General features: G+C 38.2%; 1 long non-coding RNA gene across 3 annotated transcripts in view, besides 1 other annotated feature; it reads left to right on the forward strand.

Moving 5' to 3' along the window:
* Window positions 1–11,803, forward strand: part of LOC105376107 (uncharacterized) — a 378,142-nt gene extending 366,339 nt beyond the window's left edge. For 2 of the 3 annotated variants that reach the window (XR_002956914.2, XR_002956913.1), the window contains exon 5: window positions 6,221–6,278. This is a non-coding gene — a long non-coding RNA (uncharacterized LOC105376107). Of the gene's footprint in view, window positions 1–6,220 lie in introns of all 3 variants that reach the window. The other variant, XR_002956915.2, reaches the window with a different exon arrangement.
* Window positions 19,776–20,633: an enhancer, noted in NCBI's record as "VISTA enhancer hs800". NCBI's record gives its function as "enhancer in: dorsal root ganglion[5/6]" and the evidence as "EXISTENCE:transgenic organism evidence [ECO:0001131][PMID:17130149]".

Here is a 27,020-nt window from a genome sequence, read left to right on the forward strand (position 1 = left end):
CTTCTGCTTGGGATTCTTGTCCTTAGCATTAGAGACTTTTTTTCTGCCTAGGTAATTTCAAAATGCAAATTACAATAGAAACAACAACAGTAAAATCATATAACATCTATTGAAAACTATGGTCTAATCACTTTTATATACATTTTCTCATTTAACACAACAACTTAATGACCGGGGCCTTATCAAAGTCCTCATTTGAAAGAAGAGGAAACTGAGGCTTAGATGTGTAAATAAATCAGCAAGCATGTGTTTAACCTTGGAATTGCATCTAATTCTACTTGATTCCAAAGCCCAGCTCTTAATTACTAGGAATATTGACTCCTTCTTTGCTCCATGATTTAACATTTCAAAGTGATTTCTGAGATGTACTGTTTGACTTCCTATTAATGTCAAATTAGAGGTTTTACATTAAAAAACTTTTATTTTTGGTAGAGTGTGACCAAGAATGAATGGCTCAATATATGCAATAATAATATTTTATATTTTGTGCAGTGTTTTACTATATAGGGCATATTTTCAGTATTTGTCCCTCACATGAATCCTGTAAGGATGCCTGCTCTAAAGATGAAAAGTTTGATTTTTGAGAAATCAAAGAATGTGCCTAAGGTCATATGTGAATGGCAAAATTGAAACATGGAGCACAGTGTTTTGACAACAACCATGCCTTTCTTCCTAATGCAGCATGGTATGTTACTGCTTACCAGGAATAACTGCTCCAAAGCATCTCTGATATGAAATTTCAGCTGTGTACTAGCCCTGCTATGTTCTGGAAGTGAGAAAAGGAGTAAAGTATAAGAATATTTCCAGAGTTTTATATATATATACCAGAAATCCAATAATCGTTTGAGGTCTTATATGCCAAGAAGGAGACTGGTATCCTGTAGGATATTCTGAAGAAATCTTCCCTCAGTACCCAGGACAAAGTAAACCTCTGATGCTGATGCCTTTATGGCCACTATTCCTGCCACATCCTCTGTATATCAGAAAGTCAGTGTTCTGTAGGCTTCCAAGTACAGTATATTCAGTATATATATCCATGCCACCAGATCTATGGTGAATTTCATGTCATAGATTTCATTTTGGTTTAATGTTGAAATTGCACTGTCAATTTTAGCAGCATCTTTATTAGAGGTACATCAGTTTTCCCAACTGCTGCAGCATGACAGTGTAATTTCCTGAGTAAGCCCTTTGATTAAAGAGAAAGTCTTTTAGGTGATACCACTTCAGGCTGAACAGAAAGTGCCAGCACCTCAGTAAAACCCATTCAATAACAAATCTCACATGCTGTTCTTATTAATAACTCTTGATATGGTTTGGCTGTGTCCCCACCCAAATCTCATCTTGAATTGTAACTCCCACAATTCCCACTTGTCATGGGTGGAACCCAGTGGGAGGTGATTGAATCATGGAGGCAGGTCTTTCCCATGCTCTTCTCATGATAGTGAATAAGTCTTATGACATCTGATGGTTTCAAAAATGAGAGCTTCCTTGCACAAGCTAGCTCTCTGACTGCCACCATCCACGTAAGATGTGACTTGCTCCTCCTTGCCTTCCACCATGATTGTGAGGCCTCTCCAGTCATGTGGAACTGTAAGTCCATTAAACCTCTTTTTCTTCCTAATCTCACGTATGTCTTTATCAGCAGCATGAAAACAGACTAATACAGTAAATTGGTACCAGTAGAGTGGGGTGCTGCTGAAAAGATACCTGAAAATGTGGAAGCGACTTTGGAACTGGGTAACAGGCAGAGTTTGGAACAGTTTGGAGGGCTCAGAAGATGACACAAAAATGTGGGAAAGTTTGAAACTTCCTACAGACTTGTTGAATGGCTTTGCCCAAAATGCTGATAGCGATATGGACAATAAAATCCAGGCTGAAGTGGCCTCAGATGGAAATGAGGAACTTGTTGGGAACTGGAGCAAAGGTGACTCTTGTTGTGATTTAGCAAAGAGATTGGTGGCATTTTGCCCTTGTGATAGAGATTTGTGGAACTTTCAACTTGAGAGAAATGATTTAGGGTATCTGGCAGAAGATGTTTCTAAGGAGCAAAGCATTCAAGAGGTGACTTGGATACTGTTAAAGACATTCAGTTTGTAAGGGAAGCAGAACATAAAAGTTCAGAAAATTTGCAGCCTGGGCCAGGCGCGGTGGCTCATGCCTGTAATTCCAGCACTTTGGGAGGCCAAGATGGGGGGATCACGAGGTCAGGAGATCGAGACCATCCTGGCTAACATGATGAAACCCCGTCTCTACTAAAAATACAAAAAATTAGCTGGGCATGGTGGCGAGCACCTGTAGTCCCAGCTACTCAGGAGGCTGAGGTAGAAGAATGGCATGAACCCGGGAGGCAGAGCTTGCAGTGAGCTGAGATTGTGCCACTGCACTCCAGCCTGGGTGACAGAGCGAGACTCCATCTCAAAAAAAAAAAAAAGAAAAAAAGAAAATTTGCAGCATGATAATGCAGTAGAAAAGAAATCCTATTTTCTGAGGAGAAATTCAAGCCAGCTGCATAAATTTGCATAAGTAATGAGGAGCTGATTGTTAATCCCTAAGACAATGGGGAAAATGTCCCCCCAGGCATGTCTGAGGTCTTCATGGCAGCCCCTCCCATCACAGGCCTGGAGGCCCAGGAGGAAAAAATGGTTTCGTGGGCTGGGCCCAGAGTCCCTGTGCTTTGTGCAGTCTAGGGACTTGGTGCCCTGTGTCCTAGCCATTCCAGCCTTGGCTGAAAGGGGCCAACGTAGAGCTCAAGCCATGGCTTCAGAGGGTGGAAGCCCCAAGTCTTGACAGCTTCCACATGACACAGAAGTCAAGAATTGGGGTTTGGGAACCTCCACCTAGATTTCAGAAGATGTATGGAAACACGTAGATGCCCAGGCAGAAGTTTGCTGTAGGGACCGAGTCCTTGTGGAGAACCTCTGCTAGGGAAGTATGAAAGGGAAATGTGGGGTGGGAGCCCCCACACACAGTCCCTCCTGAGGCACTGCCTAGTGGAGCTGTGAGAAGAGGGCTACCATCCTCCAGAACCCAGAATGCTAGATCCACTGACAGCTTGCACAGTGCACCTGGAAAAGCCAAAGACACTCAATGCCAGCCTGTAAAAGTAGCCAGGAGGGAGGCCTGTACCCTGCAAAGTCTCAGGGGCCAAGCTGCCCCAGTCCGTGGTAACCCACCTCTTGTATCAGCATGACCTGGGTGTGAGACATGGAGTCAAAGGAGATCATTTTGGAGCATTAAAATTTGACTGCCCTGCTGGATTTTGGACTGTGTGGGGCCTGTAGCCTCTTTGTTTTGGCCAATTTTTCTCATTTGGAATGGGTGTATTTACCAATGCCTGTATCCCACTGTATTTAGGAAGTAACTAACTTGCTTTTGATTTTACAGGCTCATAGGCAGAAGGGAATTGCTTTGTCTTAGATGAGACATTGGACTGTGGACTTTTGAATTAATGCTGAAATGACTTTTAGGAAGGAATGATTGGTTTTGAAATGTGAAAGGGACATGAGATTTGGGAGGGTCCAGGGGTAGAATGATATGGTTTGGCTGTGACCCCACCCAAATCTCCTCTTGAATTATAATTCCCACCCAGTAGGAGGTAATTGAGTCAAGGCAGTGGGTCTTTCCCATGCTGTTCTCATGATAGTGAATAAATCTCACGAGATCTGATGATTTTAAAACCAGGAGTTTCCCTGCACAAGCTCTCTCTCTTTTTGCCTGCCACCATCCATGGAAGATGTGACTTGCTCCTCCTTGCCTTTTGTCATGATTGTGAGGCCACCCTACCCATGTGGAACTGTAAGTCCATTAAACCTCTTTTTCTTCCCAGTCTTGGATATGTCTTTATCAGCAGTGTGAAAATGGACTAATACAGATCTGCTTATGTGGAGTACTGAAGATCAGCTGGCAACACTATTCTTCAAAATACTACAGCAGAATTTTCCCTCATATTTAAATATCAAAAAATCAGAGGTCATCTTAACAAATTGCCTTGTATGATTGTCAAAAGCAATAGCAAGGGAAATTCTTAATAAATTACTGATTATGAAGTGAAATCATTACTGTAGTAACTTAAAGTATTCTAGATATAGAAACAAAGCTGTCTTTTCAAACTCTTCTTTTTGTCTAAAAATTTTTATGGAATTAAAATTCACATAATATAAAAGTAACCATTTTAAAGTAGACAATTCAGTAGCACTTTTTATGTTCATAATCTAGTTCCAAAATATTTTTGTCACCCTAAAAGGAAACAGTTTAGATCCTGTTATAACTGAGAACATGTGGTATTTGGTTTTGTGTTCCTGTGTTAATTCACTTAGGATAATGGCCTCCAGCTGCATCTATGTGGCTGCAGAGGACATGATTATGTTCTTTTCTATGGCTACATAGTATTTCGTGGTATATATGTACCATATTTTCTCTGTCCAGTCCTCTATGAATGGTCACCTAGGTTGATTCCATGTCTTTGCTATTGTGAATAGTGCTGCAATGAACATGTGAGTGCCTATGTTCTTTTGGTAGAAAGACTTGTTTTCTTTTGATATACATGCAGTAATGGGATTGCTGGGTCAAATGGTAGTTCTGAGTTCTTTGAGAAATCTCCAAACTGCTTTCCATAGTGACTAGACTAATTTACATTCCCACTAACAGTGTATAAGTGTTCCCTTTTTTCTGCAGCTTCACCAGCATGTTTTTTGACATTTTAATACTAGGCATTCTGCCTGATATGAGATGGTATCTCATTGTGGTTTTAATTTGCATTTCTCTGATATGCAAATTAGTGCATATCTAGTGATATGGGAGCATTTTTTTATACGTTTGTTAGCCATTTGTGTGTCTTCTTTTGAGAAATGTCTGTTCATGTCTTTTTCCAATTTTTAATGGGGTTGTTATTATTTGTTCAATTGTTTTAGTTTCTTATAGATTCTAGATATTAGACCTTTGTTGGATGAATAGTTTGCTAATATTTTCTCCCATTCTGTGTGTTGTCTGTTTACTCTGTTGATAGTTTCTGTTGCTGTGCAGAAGCTCTTTGGTTTTCTTAGATCCCACTTGTCAATTTTTGTTTTGGTTGCAATTGCTTTTGCGAACTTAGTCATAAATTCTTTCCCAAGACTGATGTTCAGAATGGTATTTCCCAGATTTTTTTCTAGGGTTCTTACACTTTAAGATCCTACATTTAAATCTTTAATCCACCTTGAGTTAATTTTGGTATATGGTGAAAAGTAGGGGTCCACTTTCATTCTTCTGCATATGACTAGCCAGCTATCCCAGCACCATGTATTTAATGAGTCTTTTCCCCATTGCTTACTGATTTTGTTGATTTTGTCAATGACCATATGGCTGTAAGTGTGTGGCTTTATTTCTAGGTTCTCTGTTCCGTTCCATTAGTCTATATGTCTGTTTTTGTACCAGTACCATGCTGTTTGGTTATTGTAGCCTTGTAGTATAGTTTGAAGTTGGGTAATGTGGTGCCTCAGGTTTTGTTCTTTTTGCTTAGAACTGCTTTGGCTATTTGGGCTCTTTTGGGGTTCCATATGATTTTTAGAATACTTCTATGAAAAATGCCATTGGTAGTTTGATAGGTATAGCATTGAATCTGCAGATTGCTTTGGGCAATATGGCCATTTTAATGTTGATTTTTCCAGTGAGCATGGAATGTTTTTCCATTTGTTTCTCTTGTCTATGATTTTTTTAAAGCAGTGTTTTATTGTTCTCCTTGTAGAGATCTTTCACCTCTTTGGTTAGATGTATCCCTAGTTGTTTTATTTTATTTTTTTGGTGGCTATTGTAAAGGTGATTGAATTATTGATTTGGCTCTCAGCTTGCATGTTATTGGTTTATAGAAAATGCTCTGATTTTTGTACATTGATTTCTATCCTGAAATTTTACTGTTGTTATCAGTTTCAGGAGCCTTTTGGCAGAATCTTTAGGGTTTTCTAGGTATAGAATCATATTGTCCATGAAGAGAGATAACATACTCTTCAACACAGGAAAGAAAGGGAAAAGAGCTGGACACTAGGCTAAACATTTTGCATATGTTACCTAATTTTCAGTAATGAGCTAGTAAGCTGGCTCTTCAAAAAAAAATCCCAGATTTATCGCTCTTGCTAATTTCTGTGTTATAAATATTTCCATCCAGGCTGATTTCAAGTTACCCACAGGATGTCACTGAATGCAGAGTTTAAATGAAATGCCCACATTTGTTTCTCTCAAATTGTAGGAGCTGGCTGCAGCATACCATGAATCCTCACAGCAACTTAATGAGGTAGGTGTTACTTCAGATATTTAAGCCAATTATCCATGGTGACAATGGCTTAAAAATTATAGTAGTTGAATTGAAATTGGGATAGTCATTTCTGTATATGATTTTCATACTTTTCCTGCTACATCTCACTATGCCTGAAAAAAAAAAGTATATATTGAGAACCTTTTTGGTATGAAGCATTGAAGACCAATTGGTAATACCCACAAATAATGAAGAAGACATACATGAAACCTTAACACTTGGCCTTATGTCGATTTTCTACTCATCCACCTGGGACGTGTGACAAAAGTTTTCAGGATTTCTGAGAAATGTAAAATAGGAAGAAATTTCCTAAAAACACAATGTAGTGGAAGGGAAACATCTGATGTATCCTCCAGGTTTTGTTCTGTTTTGTTTTTGTATGTACATACTCATTATGTTACTGCTTAAAAGAGTTGGGAACTGAATCATGTCTATAATTTTTTTGAAATGGGAAAGAATTAAATGCAATGCACCCTTCCCTGTCATTCCACTGAAGAAATCTGAGCCCATTCCACTTTTCTAGTTTGTCTCAGAGAGAATTTGATAATGCCACAAGATAATATAAGACAACAAAGAAATGGGCCCATTTGCAAATCCCACCCAAGGTGATCAAAGGTGTTTCATTTTCTTTTGATTGATTTCTCATCTGTTCCTATTCTCTGTTTAATTGGAAGGAATTGGCTAAGAGTGCTTAGTGTCTAAACCTATTAGAATCAATTCCAAATTCTGTTTACCAAACTCAGATGGGTACTCAGGCTCATAGTCTTAAAAAAAAAAGCCTAGTAAGCCATACTTCTAATTATGTTACCTGGAGTAAGTAGTTTTCCTAAAATTGTGCCAAAGTAGAGTCTCACAAACATTTATGACATGGCCTAGTAGATGCGCATAGAGGTTTTAATGCCTCAATGGCCTGAAAGAATGAGAAGACCTCTCCAAGAGGCTAATTTACCACCTGCCTAACACTGTGTCCATGACAGTTGCACAGTCAGTGGAAAGAGAGCTAAATTGCCTCTTTGCTCACAATCTGTGGTCAAACTGATTGCATCCTGGGTTACAACGGCATTGTGAAGAGAGAGGCTTAGAGGCTCTTAGAATTTAAACTGTTAGTGAAAGTCAGCATGTCCCAAAATGACTGCTGGATTGTGTGGATTCTGAATAAAAATTCTAGCAAATCTACAGGTTATGGATAATGAGTAGAAGGTAGGTGATGGGAAAAATATTGTCCTGTAGGTCTTCATTTTCTAATGCCAAATGTGTGTCTTGGCTGACTGGGCAACAAGGTCAATAGAACCCAGGGGCTACTGTCTTTGGAGTCATTGAGAATTGATGAGGAAAGAGCCAGTATCTCTCCTTTCAGAGCCCTATGAGAAGCTCTCCCCAAACTCCTTCACTGTTCATGTGGGCAGATCAGTCATGGCCACAGTAGAGGAGATGTATCAAGGTAGTTAAGCTTGTGAATTCTGGAATCAGAGAGCTTGGGTTGAAATTCCAGCTGTGTGTCCTTGGGCAAGTCACTTAACCACTTTGTGACTAAGTTTTATCATCTGTAAAATGGGGATGGTAATAGTACTCTAGTCATAGACCTGTATGTAATATGCTGAGAGGTAAATGCTATATGGGTGCTCAACACTTTCAACACCTCACCCAGATAAAGCTGCCCAAACTGAGAGCCATAGGAAATGTCAAGGTTCTGGCTGTAGCTCCTTGGCTTTTTCACTCTGCATGCTGAAGACTGCTGTGACAACCACCAGCCTGAAGACTTTTTCAGCTCACAGGTTGGCCTGCCTGAAAGACAGGTCAGAAGTTCTGAAGAGGTAGTGTTCCTGAAATAAACCCTAAGCCAAAGACAGAAAGGATTATGGTGGATATTCAGCTCCCTTATCGTTCAGTTGAGATGAATCTGGGGTATGTTCCAAACTGTCTCCTGAGGCACCCCAGTGGGATTAAGCTCCAGTTACCCACAATGGTAACTGTTTACTGGCTTTCTTTCCTTTCTTTCTTCCTTTCCTCACTACTCAATTTCTTTACTGTTGTTTTCTGGGATCACCTTGCAAATAAACTACTTGCACTTGAATCCTTTTATCGAGATCTGCTTCTGGGAGAACCCAAATCACGGCAGGTTTCGTGGATTTTTTGGAGTGTCATAAATAACTATTGAATTGGATGCATTATTTTTAAAAATTTCATTGAGACAATATACACTCTTTGGAAACTTTAAAAGGCTAGTACAAGTTTTTATGCTTCTGTGTTTGTTATTGTTTTAGTGAGAAAAGATCTGGACTTAGAGGACTCAAGTTGCTGCTAACTAGCTGTATTTTTTTAAATCTCTGTTTTAACATATGATACTATGTACACATTATTGTAATAATTAGTTAATATATGTAAAATGGTTCCAAAAGGCCACATTTCACTGGGGTTTTGTTTTGGTTTTGAAATTTTTGCAAGTTGACATGGCTTCTTCATTTCTCATTACACAACATAGAGGATTCATTAATATTAAAAAGAGAACTAATTTGTCTATATTGTTATGACCTATCTTCGGTTATTCAATTTTGATTATCATTTCCATTTCAACTTTTCAACAATCTTATCTTCCTTGCCATTTTGGCAGTCACCTGAAAACCTAGCCAAGGTTTGGATGTCTTGTGGAAGCAGGGCAATGGATTTTGGAGCGGTGTATTTTAGATCCTGGTCTTTAAGCTCTAAGTTGTAAATTGCATGAGACATTTCAATTAATAATGTTAAGAATTTTTTTTTTTCCATTATATAAGCAATTCATGTACTGTTTGACTAATGCTTATGCCAAGTATGAGTTTACCAAACTACTAAGCCACAGGCAAATTCAAACCTTACAGCCTTTTCCTGTGATTCAAAAATAATGAAAATAAATATATATTCATAAAAAGTAAAGGAACATTACATTGCTTGCTATATTAGCTAGTTCAAAAAGCACTTTTCATTAAAACATTTAACTACTCACTTTAAAAAAATTAAATTTAGCTGGGCATAGTGGCATGCCTCTGTAGTTTCTCCTACTTGGGAGGCTGAGGCAAGAAGACCACTTGAGGCAGGGAGTTTGAGACCAGCCTGGCGCAAGATGGCAAGATCCTGCCTCTAAAGAAAAAAGAATTACATTTAAAAAGTTAAAAAAAGATGCAAAATGGCAATATAAATAATAGGGGGAATGGCTTAATTGCTACCATTGAAAGAGAACAGCAATTGATATTTTGATCTTCTTTCTATTTTATATATAGGTTTTGTTGTTTTTTTACTGGGTTGATTTTATCATGTAATGTGTATTTCACCATCATGCACATATCTAAGTGTATGTCTGGGGGGTTAATCAGCATGTATGTCTCAGTGCAAAGCACTTTCTTCCAGGTTCTCATTCGCCTTTTAGCTTCTCTTTTTCCAGTCTGGTTTCCTGCCCCTAGCCCCACCCCTACCTCCTAACTTCTCAGGTTGTCATCCATACAGCAACCAAGTGCCTGAGTTTTGTCATTTTGGTACCAGAGCTACAGTCTGGAGACTCTGCTTCTTTAGGCAGCCTGACTGCTTCTCATCCCTGGTGCTATGATGGCAACTTTGGGATGTATTTCTCCCTTCTTTCCTTCCCTTTCCCTTAGACAGGGATTTATGAAGTGAGGTTATTAGGAAAGGGCAAGGTCCCTGTAGGGCCCTGCCAGCTCCACTCTTCCCTTTAAAATTAGATATCCATTTTTTAAAACTTATAATTTTAAAAAATGGTTATAAGCATCAATACAACAAGGTGACTGGTGGGGTAGAATTTTAAAATATGATGTAACCTCTTCTTGTTCTAGAGGTTAAGCCAGCAAGTCAGCTTAGGACATATTTTTCTAATCGTGGGGGGAAATGGCCTGGCTTACCTTAGTTACATAACCATGTGTGCAGCCTGTTCTGGCATTTACATGCCCCTCCCTGAAACAAAGCAGAGGATTCTGGTTTGAGCAACGTTTTCCTTCCTTTCCTCCCTACCCTTCCTCACCCTACCTTTTGTGAAGGTTGTGAATCAGTTTTTCATAAGAAGTCTAGAAGCCTTGTGAGAGTGAAGAGACTCCAACCCCAGCTGTTTCTCCTTAAGATTCAACATTAGAGAAATTTGGAAGGAACCACAGTGTTCCTGACTGAGACCTCTTGGTGGGAAAGGAACATGACAATGATAGATGAGAACATACAGTGAGAGATAGGAAGTTGGGGCTTCCCGAAGTTTCCAAAAGGATCTAAGACAGGTCTGTCTTTGCCAGACCCTGTACTGAGCCTTCATATGGTCCCAGCCGTGGCCAGCCTAGTTCTGACATCGCGACTGGGCAACAGTGGGATGGCTCAGCGTTTGAAATGAGTGGTGACCTCCATGGTGGCCTCAGGATCTAAATGTACAAGGGCTTCACTGTAGCTGTGGACCCTTGTCCAGTGTCTGCAGACCCTGAAGTGACAATGCCAACAGTGCTGCCTCTGACTCATGGTTCTCTCACATTTAGAAGAGTCATCGAAGTCCTTTGGTCTACATCATTGTGATTGAGGGGATATGGGATACCAAACTGCCTGCCCACACAGGCTTCTGGGGTTTTACATGATTCATTAGAATAATAAAAAGGATGTGGCTACGTTTATACCTCCAGGCTGGTGAAGTAAGTCACTATTACTCAAGCATTCTTCATGTTATTACAAACATTAATGCCTGCCTAGCCATGTACTGAGAGAGTGTACTATATTTTATTTTCTAATTTCTCCTTTATTGGAAATTTAACTCTTTTGCATGAGACATTTCTGGTAGAACCTAGTATTTGTTTTAGCACTATTAGTGTAATAGTAGTAGGCATATATTTTCTAGTTGCTAAAAATATGCAGCTCCAAACATTATTTTTTGGGGTGTGAAGTTAACTTCCTTCTCTTGTATTTGAGGGGCATTAGGGGGTTTTGTCAAGAGTGGGGCATGAGGGAGAGGAGGCTCAGAGAACTAAGAGTGTACACCATGCTTGCTGGTCCCGGGTTCTCAAAGGCATCTTTGACCAGAAGGGGGGTCAAGGATAGTACTATCTGTTGGGAGGAAGCCACACATCCAGTGGATGTAAAAGAGCATGACTGTCCCCAGTGAGACCCTAGTAATAAGCAGGGCATGGCACATGGTAGGTGCTTGGTACTTACTCTTTTTTAATTTTTGGATGGTTGAATATTTCCACTAAGCATTCAGAGAACAGATTATAAACCTATGTAAGCATTCCAGAATTATAAGATTAGACTTGCATAAAGTTGCCATGTAATTTAAAAAATGCTCTTTAACCTATGGAAAGGTTTTTTTTTTCCATGAAAAAATTGGTAATGATATGTACACTAATCTATATAAAGAGCATAAGATTATAATACAAATAAATCCATGTGATTCCTTCCCGTGTGATGTTATGTTGTTTCAAGATAATATTTTTCCCCATAGTGGTTATGTGATCTTCTATATCTGGATGTAAACAACAACAATAACAACAAAAAGAAACAAAAAAACACTCATGCCAAAGGAAATAATGACTATAGCTCATGGTGGTGAATGATACTTTGGGGGAGATAGGAAACTACCTTAGACCTGTACTTCTGAGTGCACATTATTACTTTTGCTTGATTTCCCTCTAACTTCTATTTATTTGAGAACCATGATCAAATGAGACCACAGGCACCACTTTCAATTACAGAGATTAAGGAAATATAGCATGAGTTTTGTTTTGTTTTATTTTTCTAGAGGACATTTGCCCTATATTCTTGGAAAATGGCAGCCTGTGGAATAATTTGTCTGGTCAGGCCCCAGCTACTTTGCCTTGAAAGGGGAACCCATTAGGAGTAGCTGCCTTACAAATCCTGGCTCTGAGTCCATCTTTTAAAATTTCAGTTTATTTTTATTTTTTAAAAATTTTGTTTTTCCTATTTATTTGTTTATTTTTGAGACAGGGTCTCACTCTGTGGCTCAGGTCAGAGTGCAGTGGTGCAATCACAGCTCACTGTAGCCTCAACCTCCCAGGCTCAAGTGATCCTGTCACCTCAGCCCCTGAATAGCTGGGTCTACAGGTGTGTGCCATCATGTTGGCACACGTTGGCTAATTTTTAAATTTTTTTGTACAGACTGTGTTGCCCAGGCTGATCCCAAACTCCTGGGCTCAAGCAGTCCTTTCACCTCAGTTTCCCAAGTAGCTGGGATTACAGGCACACGCCACCATGCCCAGCTGTATTTTTTTATTGATTTACATTTTTTTTTGTAGACACCAGAAAATAAATTTTCTTCCACAACATAGAGATTGGATTTAAAAGTTCTTTTTTTGCTTTTTTTTTTAGATGTTTAAAGGAAACTGATTAAACAATGAGATAAAGCTCTAGACATAAGATAAATGGTAATAAAAACAGTATCTTAAAAGGGATTAGTTATCTGCAATCAACAGAGCGCATTTAACGTATATTATCACATTTGAATCAGAGAACAGCCCCCTGAAGCCAGGTGGGGAAGCATTTTGCTCCTCTTTTCATAGTGGAAGGAACTGACACTCAAAAAATTTAGGGGTTGTGTCCATGACAATAGAAGTTGTAACTGCAGATTAGAGTTCCAGTTTTCTCACTCCCCTTTCTGCCTTTTTTTCCCCACTTCACCATGTTGCTGTTGAAGGTGCCAGAGTCTTGGAATTTTTATGTCTTTTTCTCAAGAGTCATTCATAGTCCCAGAATATCTTTGCAAGGGAAATGAATGACCCTTCTGAAATTTAGAGCCACTCACATATTTATGTCATCAGTATAGCTCCATTTACAAACTCTTACAAATAACATGAAAGCTTGAGGCATTCCTTTTATTTTATTTTTCTCTTCCTTTCTGTCTTATACATGTCCAGAGGCACTCTTTTTGGTGTCATTTCCTAAGGGAAAAGAACATAGAAATTCTTGTTCTTCCTCAAAGCTGATAAATAATCTGGCAGCTTTTTATTTAAATTAAAAAAAAATGCTTTCTGTAGACTTGATCGGTTATGCCAAATTTCTCTCATAAGTTTTGGAGAGATTTTAAAGTTTTCTTTTATATTTTCTGGGCACAAGTCTTCTTGACAGAAAATTGCAACAAGAAAAAGGTCTGTTCCCTTTTGGAATACTTTCCACACGGAAGGCTTGGGAGGAAAGTTGCAACATATGTTAGAGACCCTATCTCTAGGAGCTGGGCCAGAAGAGACAGCATGAAACAGGGAAAGGTGATTCTCTGTGCTTTCAAGCTTCAGTTCCCTTTTTAAAGAACTCCATTCTCCTGGCCAGGAAAAGGAAATAGAATGGGTTCTGAAGCAGATGCTGCTCAGACTTGCTGGTTATCAGAGAAGGAGTGAGAAGGCAAAGGAGAAAAAATCACTGTATGTGTGTGCTCACTTGTGTGTGCTCACTTATGTGTGCATGCAGGGATGAGAGGGTGTCAAAACTTGGGAAACCAGTACAATCTCCAAAACAAGGCATCTTTTGAATTTTAAGTAAAAATTAAGGGCCAGGCACAGCGGTTCATGTAATCCCAAGCACTTTGGGAGGCCAAGGCGGGCAGATCACTTGAGGTCAGGAGTTTGAGACCAGCCAACAAGGTGAAACCCCATCTCTACTACAAAAAAAAAAAAAAATACAAAAATTAGTCCAGTGTGGTGGCACATGCCTGTAGTCCCAGCTACTTGGGGAGCCTGAGGCAAGAGAATCGCTTGAATTGGGAGGCGGAAGTTGTAGTGAGCTGAGATCCAGCCACCTCACTCCAGCCTGGGAGACTGAGCAAAACTCTGTCTCCAAAAAAAAAAAAAATTAAGGAAAGGAAAATGAGGATATCTTTAGAGCAAGAATCAGCAAACTTCTTCTGTAAAACACCAGATAATAAATATTTTTCATTTTGTGGACCATATAGTCTGTCTCAAATATTTAATTCTGACGTAGCACAAAAGCAACCTTATTTTAGGGACACCAAAATTTGAATTTTATATAATGTTCAAATGTCAGGAAATATTTTTGTTTTGATTTTTTTTCTCCCAACTGTTTAAAAATGCGAAAGCCATTTTCAATTGGGCTGTGAGCTGTACAAAAGCAAGCAGTGGACTGGTTTGGCCTCTGGGTTTGCCTAACCCTGTTCTAGAGGAAAGATGAGGCTAGCATGGTGTGGTGTGAAAATGTGAAGTAATTATTTTTTATTATTCTTATATGAAGTAGCAACTAGATGAGCACATTTCCCCCATGTGCCCCTTAACCGTCTTGCACAAAAATGAAAACAAAAAAAGAAAACATGTTGATTGCAATCTCATCTCTCTGAAATTTACTTAATTCTGAAATTTCTTTTTTTTCTTTTCTTTTTTTTTTTTTTTTTTTTTTTGAGATGGAGTCTTGCTCTGTCACCCAGGCTGGAATGCAGTGGTGCGATCTTGGCTCATTGCAACCTCCGCCTCCTGGGTTCAAGCAGTTCTCTGCCTCAGCCTCCCTAGTAGCTGGGATTACAGGTGCCCGCACCACACCCAGCTAATTTTTGTATTGTAATAGAGATGGGGTTTCACCATGTTGGCCAGGCTGGTCTTGAGCTCCTGACCTCGTGATCCACCCACCTCGGCCTCCCAAAGTGCTGGGATTACAGGTGTGAGCTACTGCACCTGGCCAATTCTGAAATATTCGCAAAAGTCACACCAAAATTTACCATTGATTGGAAGTTTAGTTGCCTAGCCAGCTTTATATTTAAGGCCTATAGACTTTAACTAATTTAGAGAAATCTGAAGACTAAAGGAAGAATGTCTGATTTTAAAGTAGTACTGTGTTTATTTGAAGGAACCATCCCCCCTTCCTCCTCTGATGGAATTATCCCGAGAATCCATATTAAACATCACTGTGTTAATTTTCTGCTCTACAATACAACACAACTGTCACATGATACTAAAAACATGGACATGTGTGGAATCAAGTAAAATAATAAGGTGTCAAAATGTCCTGCATATGTGGGGAAAGAACCTATGTTTTTAACTGAATTGTAAAAAAGAAATCACTCATTTTGAAAGGAAATCTTTTCTGATGAGCAGAATATAAGATGACTGTAAGTGCATATCTGTGAATCTTCATTTTCAAGGTATTTTCTCCTTACTTAATGTTCTTACCCTACTCATGTCTGTAACTATGGTACTCAGATTAATTAGGATATGATTTGAAAAGAATGTTGGACTATGACCATAAACACAGACCTTTCCACTTAATCATTGCCGTTAATCCCAGGTATGGCCAATAATGTAGACGTAAACTTGTGGAAGTGAGAGTCATCCAGATCCTCGCTACTCAGATGTGTTCTATAGACCAGGAGTATCAGCATCACCTAGACTTTTGTTGGAAATGCAGAGTCTCAGGCCTCAGTCCAGACTCATTGGATCATAATCTGCATTTTAACAAAATCATCAGATGATTTGTATGCGCATTAATTGTAAAGAGACATTCAGCTTGTAGTAATAGTTTTCAGCTTTGGTTGTATGGTAGAATTCCCTGTGAGACTTCTAGAAATCCCAGTGCGTAGGCTCTCTACCAGACCAATTAAATCAGAATACCTGAGGGTGGGACCTAGGCATCAGTATTTTTTCTGTTTTTTTTTTTTTGATATGATAATTTACTTCCTTTTGGGTACATACCCAATAGTGTGATTGCTGTATCAAATGGTAGTTCCAGTGGCATCGGTATTTTTTTAAGCTTCCTAGATAATTCCAGTGTGCAGTGAAGTCTGAGAACCACTGGGCTAGATGAAGGACTGCACATATTACTGCTCTGAGAGTAAGAAGAGAGCACTCTCATTATCAAGTGGAAATAAGGTCCCCAGAACTAGAGGAGTTACTAGAAGTGTTAAAAAGGTCAGCTTGGCATATATTACAAGAGTAGTTTTCGAGAGCCATTTCATTATTTGAAGGATGGAATAACAGCACATCTCAGGCCAGGCAACTGGGTCACATGCCCAGTTTCTTTAGTCTTTGCTTTTTGAATAAACCCTACAACTTTAATTATATAACTGTCATTAAGACTTCCCCTAATCTTAACAAAACTTTCTGAAAAGACTCTCATATAGGATACCAGTTTGTTAACCATCTTTTTGGTTGAGGATGAGGATAAATTCATGGTATGTGAGTTTTGGTAGAGTTAGCAAAGTTTCAAGTGTTTAAGTAGATTAACTGATCATTGAAGCCCCTTGCCTTTAGCTTAGAAATGGAATCTGAGAAAACAGAGAGATAATGCCATTCAAAAATCACTTTCTTTGGAACAGCAAGGAGCCCATCAGATTAATTCTTAAGGACAAGTGTAAGGGCTGGTATATATAAGAGGAAAAGGCATTATGCAGCAGCTTATAGGATATCACTTTATCAAGATTCCAGAAATTATCAAGTCAGTCCACTGATTTGGTACCCTCTTATTCATAATATCTGTTATATTATGCCTTTAAATAAAAATTAAGTCACATCTTTAAAGGAATTGAGCCTACATAATGAGATAAAATGTTCAGGTTACTAAATAGTTGACCAAAAGCAAACAAACAAAATTATAGATTAAGTTGAAGCTCTAGTGGCTTCTGGTATGTACTGATTCTTTCTAACTAGTGAGAAGTCCCTGTAGAGTCTGACAGGCTTTGAGTTGGGTCTTCTTCCTACCTGTTGCTAAGTGTGCATCATCTTTGGACCTTCCCACCCCATCTCATCCTGGTGTTCAGGTTTCTGGCACTAGAGTTGATCCACTAATTGCAGAGTTCTAAGTTTTGTCTTGCCATCGCTCCATGTAGCCCATCTACTATACGGCAAGTTCTCGAATAATGTCATTTCATCGTAATGTTGATAAGAAAAAAAAATTCCCAGTGGGAGCCGCTGTCAGTGTGGAGTATGCACATTCTCCCATGTCTATATGGTTTTTCTCTGCATACTCCAGTTTCCTCCCATATCCCAAGGCTGTAGATGTGGAGTGAACTGGAATGTCTATGTGGTCTCAGTGTGAGTGTGTGACTGTGCCCTGCAATGGGATGGCATCCTTTCTTGAGTAGGTTCCCACCTTGTGCCCTGAGCTTCCTGGATAGGCTCTGGCCACCCATAACCCTGAACTGGAATATTTGGTTTACATTTATTTCAATGTTTAATATTAGAAATGGTTTGGTTTTTATTTAGAAGTTCAGTAATGTTTTTGTGACCAGAAATATGCCACAGAAACTTAACTCTTGTTTATATCAGTTAGCCTATAGTAAAATTGGTTTTGTTATACAGCATTTTGCTTAAAGTCACAGTTTCAAGAACCTATCAATGGAGTTAAGTGAGGACTTACTGTATTTCTATTACTCTAGCTCTTTCTATTCTTAATTGCTAATTCCACAGACCTATGGAATGCTGAAAGTGCAATTATCCTCCAGTGTAACTGCCTTCTGCAAAAATTGCCTCCCACAAAACTACCAAAAAATGCATTCTGTTTGGTACTATGTGTGAATATCTAAGGATGCCTTTTCAGCTATACAGAGAGGCCTTCTATAGACCTCCCTGGCTTTAGACAAGAATAGGTTAGCTGTCTGGTTGGAACACCCTTTTATTTTTTTAGTATGGTTATTTCAGGTGTCCCATTATCTGACATCCTTCTTGGGTATAGCAGTTGATGTTAAAAGTTGTCTGATTGTTACCACTTGGGAGCTTTTGTCTGTTTAAATATTTCATGTTCACTTATAAAAAATTACACCCATTAAATAGCTCGTGAATTCCTAAGTATAACTTGAATACAAATACTACAATACACAAACACTCTTCTTAGGATTCCATTATGCATTAATTAATTTACTTCATAAATGTGAACAAAAAGAGCTTACTGTGTTTGAGGTAGTATTCTAGACCCTGTGAGGAACAAAAAGACTCAGAGTAGTGTTTCCTGTTCTCTTGGAGCCCCAGAGTAAGAAAAGCACATATTTGTTATCCAAAGCTAAATGTGATTTGGTGCTGAAAACAAACAGGCAGTAAGTGCTATAGGAGTTCAGAGAAAAAAGGAAGAGCAAGAATGCATGGCAGCAAAATTTCGTGGAAGGCTTTATGCCAGAGATGGCATTGGAGGTGGACTTTGAAGATGAATAGTTTTTCAGCAGGCAGTTCTCAGAATGAACAGAAACAGTTAACAAAGATGCCTTCTCTAAATGCCAAGAATGTAAGGACGTTCAGCACACACAACCATCTCTTCCTTCATCTGAACTCCCTGTATGATCTAGTAATTAAACACTAAGTGTTTGGTAATAATATGTGTCAGAGAATGTTCTTGGTCTCCTTTGAAATAGGAAAGAGATACTCTTCAAAAGTTAAAAGGTTGTGTCTCACGCCTGCAATCCCAGCACTTTACTGAGGCAGGTGGATTGCTTGAGCCCAGGAATTTGAGACCAGCCTGGAAAACATGGTGAAACCCTGTCTCTGCAAAACATACAAAAAATAAATTAGTTGGCATACTCAGGAGGCTGAGGTGTGAGGATTGCTTGAGCCCAGGAGGCGGAGGTTGCATTGAACCAAGATCACACAACTACACTCCATATTGGGTTACAGGGACCCTGCCTCAAAAAAAAAAAAAAAAAAAAAAAAAGTGAAAAGAATCACCAAGGGCACACATACTTGTCATAAACCAAGAAAACCAAATTAGAGAATTGAATAAAGCCGGTTGGGTAAGACCCCCAGAATTTCCAATGTCTTTTAATTGAAGTTTGCAAAGAGTTTACTCTTCCAGCTTGGAGAAATCAGGAACAAATCAAAAGGCATTTTGGCCATTGTTGATAAATATTCTAATTAAATCCTTCATTGACTGATGGCTGCCAAGAGTCAGCAGCAGGTGGTAACAGTTCCTTTGTAATCATTATAATTGTTTGAAATTATTCACTTTTCTGATCCAGGACTGTTTTTGGAGAGGAGGCCTAGGAGACACAGTGCAGATGGGCCTGATTTAAACAATATCCTTATTAAAACTGCACATTCTATTTTCTGATTAAGTTATTGGCAAATTCAAATATAGTATCAGTATATCAAACTAATCACTTGTTGAAAAATAATAATAGCTACAGCTGTTCTCCCTTTAAGTTTTAAGAGATAAAATATGTTCACTTAGATATGCATATCTGACATGACATATTTTCTTTCTATGGCACCCAGAGTCTCTGCTGTTACAATGTTTCTTTTTCATTATGAATAGAGGTGAGCTTTTCTTTTTCTTTTAAATTTATGGAACATATGCTGTATCCACTTCACTCAAAGCTATAGAATAATGACGCTATTATTGTAGCCATCTGTCTCTTCACATCAGTGTCTTCCATGGTTTTATAGTCCAGTTTTAGGGCTCTGTAAGAAACAATATTGGTTAACATTAATAACTGCCTTCATCTGACAATTTACATCTCTGCTTGGAGTCAGCTCCTGAAAGCATCTATCCCAGTAAAGGATGCAGGGGTGCCAGAAGAGGGAGGGACAGCTGTCTTGAGGGAGATGGAGGAAGAGCCGCCTATTTTGCTCCGCTTGACTGACGCCTAAAGGAAAGGTTGAGTCGATCTCCCACTTCCTATTATAGCGCTGCATTTGCAGGTTCCCACCTTGACAGGCAGAAACAGTTCCAGCCAGTGCTAATTTGGGTAACATCTAAAAGGCTTGCCTGACAAGGCAGATTCAAATTATGAAGCAAACCCCTCACATACTGAGACCTTGTTAGACAGATTAGTGGTGGATTGGCTTCTTGTGACAGCTTGTTTGCTAGAGGTGAGCTATCTGCATTTCCAATGCAGGCAGGTTATATCATCATTTAAAGAAAAAAAAAAAATAAAGATGTCGTTTTTCTTGTTTGTCACAGAGTTCATGTAATATTCCCTCTCGATTTTCTCATTGTTGACTTCAGAAAGAAATAGCAGCAAGTGTGTACCTTTGAGTACGACAGCTAATTTTGTTATGGATGAACAGAGTATTGTGACAAAACAGTGGCACAGCTGTCATAACAGCTGTCACACATTAATCATGACAGTGACAAATAGCATAATTACCTTATCTGGAATTCCTAGCATGCACACTCAGTATGCCCCACTGCCAAGCGAGCATATCACGCATGGTTTAATTAAAAAGACATCAATACAGGTTAGTTAGACAAGGGCTAGAAGACATTGATCCAAAATGAAAATAAAATTATTTATAGGTTGGTGTTTAGGGACACCAAAGACCAATTACTTAGCCGACATGATAATTTGAAACGATTTCCCTAACTGGCCTTTCTCAATGTGTACATCACATGGCGAGTTGTCTGTTCTGAACCAAACTAGAAGCCCTTCCTCCATTAAATGTTTGATCCCCTCTTTTTCCAGTCCCAGCATGGGTCTTTGAGAGCCATCTTTATATTCTGTTATATGATTAAAGGCACTCTATTGGTAAATATTTGATTACCAGTGAACACATTATAGCTGACTTTTTTGTTAACTTGCCTTCCAAGGCAGATACTGTGCAGAAGGAAAATAATATTAAGCAAAATGATTTTTGTTTTATTTGGAAATTCTTCCTAAGAATAAGGTGAAGTAAAGGCAGGTAAGACTGGGTTTGAGCCTAGAAATTACATTCTTTTACATGTGCAGTATTTTAATATAGGTACCTGTATTTGCGTGCATGCATGAGTCGCATCAGTATGTATAAATATGCAACCCTTCCAAATATATGTATATTTTTGCCCCCCCTGGTATTTTAAGCTCAACAATTCACTGAATTTACTGATTGAATTCCTGGGAGCTGGTTCTTGAATTGCTCTGAAGCTGCCTCGATGAAATATTAATGAATCAATTTCCATAGACATGGACTCATTATCTTGCTGGATGCCATTGGAAAACACAGTCCTGCCTGCGGTGTCCTTCCACCTTCCTGTGACATGATTTGATTTTCTCTCTCCCTTTTTTAATTAAATAAAAAAAATTGCTATCAGGAAAGTTTTGATAACTTTGGAACAGACATCTCCATTTCTCTTGATGGGTACCTAAATGGAGGTAAGCCATTTAAAATAAATTTATGTACCACTTACATGATATATTGAAAAGTGGGTCTGGAAACAAAGGAAGAGATGGCCAGTTTAGTTCTGTGGTCTCTGGAATGCCCTTTGGAAATGAAAAAACTGCTATTTTTCAGAACAACCAATTTATGAGAAATGTCTATATTTTAAAAAGCTGGGCCAACCATCTAATTGTTTACAAAGTTATCAACTTTAGAAAATGTTACAGAACACAAACACATTGTCACTTTAATTTAGGACTGATGGAAAGTAGATGAAACTATTCAAGCTGTGTCTACAAAATGCCAAAACAGCTGGTTAGAGCATGAAAAATTCAGTCAAGCTGTGATTATTTACAGGCATCATAAATAGCTGGTTTTAAGTATTTTGATTTTTGTTCACTGAAATTTACTGGTTTCTCATGCCTTATGCGAGTCAATCTAGGGGTGTAATAAAGTGTATTAAACTACAATTATACTAAACAAAGTTTTTAGCTTCCTTCCTTTCCTTCATTTTGTTCCGGTAAAGATTATTATTGCCTGCTCTGGGTACCATCAACATCCACTTTATAGAATTCTAAAAAATCCACTGGTAAATGGTTACCAACATGGTTAGACAAAGACTAAGATTATGTTCTCAAATTCAATGGCTTTCATTTTCATTTAGAACCAGTAATATATCTGAATGTCATGTGATCTGAGAACAATATTACCATTTCAACACATACATATTATTTGATCTGAGAATGATATTTCTATTTCAACACATATTCTTTTAGGGAAAAAGTGAAAGCCCAAGCTTGACCAAGTAAATCTTTTCAATACTAAGTCAAGAAAAAATTTTTTTCATCTTTGTTGAGAGAAAACCTGATTTGTTATTTGCTCACTCTACTGATTCCATTTCAATCTAAGTCATGGGGAACTCACCTGTAATTTGGTTACAGGTGTCTCCAGGATAATCGGATAGATACTGCATTCCAGGTATTAGGAATACCTCAGAGTAGCTCCTGACTTAAAACATTTTGATTAAAGCTATGAGAAAAAAAAAACAAGGGCATCTGCACACAGTAGTTTTGCACATAATGCCAAGGTACCCATTAACTGGGCAACTCATCTGTGGCCCCTGGCATAAATCCCTACTCTAGGTATAAGCAGGGGTAGAAACGACCCAGAACTGCTCTCAGAGGGTGGACACAATTCTAGGTCTTTAGTGTCAAGGTTGGGTTCCTATTGAAGCTAGAGACAGAATATCAAGTTTCTTGAGAATTAACCCAAGAATGCTTATTCCACTGGGAGATACATAAGAAGATTTTAATGAAGAAGAATCCATTTTAGATCTAGTCATAACTGACAAGAGGAAAATAAAAGCAGCTTTAGCATTTTTTGATCAAGCCCTTTGGAAGGAATTCCCTCCCTGTCTTCACTGTCTATCACACTTTTTGTTTAAGGGCACCTGTTTTCTACGGTGCTTTGCTGCTTTTTATATGGCATCACCTTAGTACATTGTAAGCTCTTTGAAAGCTGATTCTGTGTCTGATTCTTCTTTTTCTTTCTCATGGCACCTACAATTGTGCCTACATGGTGTAATTGCTGAGAAAATATGCACATCAGGAGTGGCAACATGTTGGCTTTAATAATTAAAGGCATGGATTTTTCCCAAAACATCCGGGTTATTTCTTGAATTCACCATATCACATTACTGAAATCTCTGAGAAGGTCAAACAGTTTATTTTTAAAGCAAGTTTTCTTCCACATTCTTTTCAGAGGACAGTTTTATTTCTCTTATTTCCTGCTTCCTAATACATGAACTGGCCTTTTGCATAAAGACTGGATGATTTTCATTGTTTCTAATAGAGCAGCAATATTAATCCACTGGCCAAGATACCAATGCATTTTTCTCCCAGATTTTCATATTTCTGACCATCCCTGATCTTGAAATATAGCTTGTATGTATTACACATAACCATATTTTACATATTTTATAATACAAGATTCCTGATTGTACTGTGCCTTCTAAACTTGCTCCATGCACCACCTAATGAAATCGAGTGGCATACCTTTACCCACCTTGAAAGAACTGGTGCAAGCCAAGATTATTACTCTCTATACCTCCGTCAGTCCTTGGATTTGTGGCCAGGCCTTTTACTCTCCATGCCTCGGAATATTTCAGTAGCTCTTCCTCCCTGCAACAGTGACAATCAGCAGGTTTTCCATGTAAGAACTAGCAGCAGCAATTGTGTTTATCTCCTTGACTAAAAGGTTTTGTATTTATCTTCCCTGAGGTGGTGCCCATGTGGCTGTCCTGATATTGAGCAGCTGGACAGATTATACCCTGGAGCCACATCTGCAAACACATAGATCAACACCATTTTCATTGCCTTGGTGCCCAAGAAGTTTATCTCCTGTCAGTTAGATTTACTGCTTTCTTCATGAATTCTTAAGGCTTTTGCTCCTCCCATGTTTCCTTTCCTTCTCCATTTTATCTGATTTCAAAGTACATTAGCATAATCTGATCTGGATTGTTAACAGCCGATTAGTTTGTTTTGGTTTCCTGCCATTATTAATACGTTTTTCCAATAGGGCTTCTGTAGAGGAATCTTGGATGGTAAAGAATATAACATTAACTATGTAGCATAGAACAAAACGACTTTATTGGTGTGTATATATCTAATAGTGCTGGTTTTATTTGCCACACCTAAGTGCATGGTAAAGACACTGCTTTAGACATTGTCTCACAGATCTAAATTTTGTTTACTGATGTTGCTTCAGCTGTTAAAACATAATCTCTCAAACTTGTGTTAATGCTTTTAAGTTTACAATATATTTTTAACTGATACTGTCTCCAATGATTCTCAACAGAGTCTTGCAAGGTAGGAGAGGCAGAAGAATGATTTTCAGCTTTACAGACAAGAATATCAAAGTTCAAAAAATCACAAAGTCAGCTATGAAGCCAAGACTCAGATCTGGGAAACCATGTTCACATTTCAATTTCTTCCCACTTTGCTTCAAAGCAACCTCCAAATAATCCTCCTTATGACTGTCAGTTTGACTTTCTCAGGCTTTCTCTCACCCGTCTCAATATCTGATGCCTTTTGCATTTCCAAAATTCTATGATTTGCTGCCTGGATTATGACAAATGATGTAGAGGTTAATGCAAATTATCTCTTCATTTATCTAAACTGTTAGGTGAAGCCAAAAAAAAAAAAGTGAGATAGTCCTTTGGACTATTGATTACTTCAATGGTTTTTCAATCCACACACACATTTGAATTACCTAAGGAACTTTAAAAATAAATAATGATGTCTGGATCCAACCTCCAGAGATTCTGATTTAATTGCTCTAGGGTTGATGTCCAGACATGAGTATTTTTTTAAAGCTCCCCAGATAATTCTAATGTGCATCCAGTGTTCAAAACCACTGGGGAAATTTCTTCTCTTTACCCCCTTCTGTTTTCTTCTCTTTATCTTTCCCCACCAACTTTTGAAAAATGTTTTGGTTTCTCAAATACAATCAAAGTTCTGCATCTTGGCCAACATTAATGGTGTTACTCAAAAATTTAACATCTAAATGTGTGTGCGTGTGTGTGTGTGTGTGTGTGTGTGTGTGTGTGTGTGTGTGTTTGCTTGCTTTGGCTACCATGGGAGGAAAGGGGAAAATTATGGAGAAGGGTGTTGTAGAAAGAGATCATGGGCTAGAGACATCTGGTAGCATACATTTATAATTACTAGAATGTAGACACCTCAAAGCCAGTGATTTGGTCTGTTTTGGTCATTGCTGTTTATCCAGCATGTTGAAAAATGTTTGGCACACAGTAGGCACTTAAATATTTACTAATGAGTATTTCCCCACATCTCCCTCAACCATGCTAATCCAGAGCTAAGTAGAACCCCATGAAGGTTCCCCATGCTAGGGGAATTCCAGTTTTGTCTCCACTTGGAATACTTGCCTGCCCATCTCTTCCCAAACTCTAAGTCCTGTCTTCCTTTAAGGACTAGCTTTAGTGAACTTTCTTTCACAAGCCTTTCTGGTTCTCTTTTGAACTGTTACAGGTGATTATTTATGTTTCACTCATTGCTGCTACTTCCCACTGCCTATCTTGTGTATATTACAGTTTATGTGGATGTCTTTGCTTTTCTTCTAGACATAACCCATTTTATCTTTGCATCTCTTCTAGTACACATGGAAATCTCTCAGTTAATATTTGTTTGAATGAATGACCATTGCTTCTGGTATGTGAAATTCCTACATTATACAATGATGAGGGTTTAAATAGCATTTCATAATGTTTGATTTTGTTTTATGCTTTGTATTTTTGAAACCCATATTATATATATGATATGTATGATATCATATCTGATTTGCTCCTCAACACAACCCTGGGGAATGAAACAGATGGACATTATTGTTGTAAATGAAAAGAAACTGAGGCATGAAAATGATATTAAGTGATCTACTCAAGGCCATGCCCTATCAAAGGCAGAATGGATGGAGTGGCTAAATTTCCAGCTCCATTTTTGCACACAGCTTTGCTAGGGAACATTGTGTTTTCCCCAGCATGAGGTAAGCAAACTGACAATTTGCTTTTGTTTACTTCCAAAGTCCGCACCTCTCCAGCTCAGTTATAAAACCTAAGTCCTATGCTTTTAGACAGAATACAATTCAGTCAGATCAGTTCTTGTTTTTGTTGATAGCTTGTGCATCATGTTCTTATTTCAGTGTATTATGACTTATTTATTTTACTTTTCATGAAACCTTCAATTTGTTAATTAGATCAAAATAATGCCAGAAAGGGAGATGCATGTTTGTGACAATTTGGATAGATAATAGCCAGGCTGTGAGAAGTACTGCATTCAAGAGAACTAGTAGAAAAGCAATGAGAACCAAGTGGTATGCAGCTTCCCAGCTGGTTTTCTCTGTATATCTTTTTTAAACATTTAAACTCTTGCCCTTGCCTATTCGGTAGTTTCTAATCACCCAATCAACAGCATGAACCTAGGGTGCAGAAATTCCATTTCTTCATATATTTTAGCCCAAAGGAATGATTATGAATCCATACTAAATGACACAATGTTTTATTTTTTCATAAATACATTAAACATGCATCAATGAAAACAGCATTTTAATCATGTGAGCAGGACTTTATTGATTTATCCAAGATGGAATTAAGCAATATTTTTTGACAACACAAGGAGTATAAATAGCTCCTCATAGTATGATTTAAATTTGATTATTACATAGTTTTAATCATAACTTGTGCACATTTTTCAAAAGTAGAAATAAAACATTGTCAAGTTCTCTGGAACAAAACAAAATTGTTTTTTGGTTTGTATTAGATGTAGTTACATTGAGAGTTGTGCTTGAGTGTATGTATGGTGTAATAAGGGATAAAGTAGCCTTGTGATACTTTTTTCATTTACATAAATACAGTTCAGGGAATATTACTAATGAAGTGGATGTGGGGGTCACCTAGCCACCTTAGGAAAAGGTTACTACTTTATTTTAAGTAGCCCATCAATCATTATGAATTAATGTCATACTGTAGGTGAAAGCACTAATAATAATAAATTCATTTTGTATTCATGAGGGTGTCAAATGTACACCCAAAGGAGTCCCGTGTCATTTGTCGATATGGAAAGAAAAATTAAAATATGACCTATTCACAATCTCTTTGCTATGGCTTATACCCAACTGCATGTTTTGGTGCTGATGGACAATAATGC

This window comes from Homo sapiens, chromosome 9, assembly GCF_000001405.40.
Source record: "Homo sapiens chromosome 9, GRCh38.p14 Primary Assembly".
Taxonomy (NCBI): domain Eukaryota; kingdom Metazoa; phylum Chordata; class Mammalia; order Primates; family Hominidae; genus Homo; species Homo sapiens.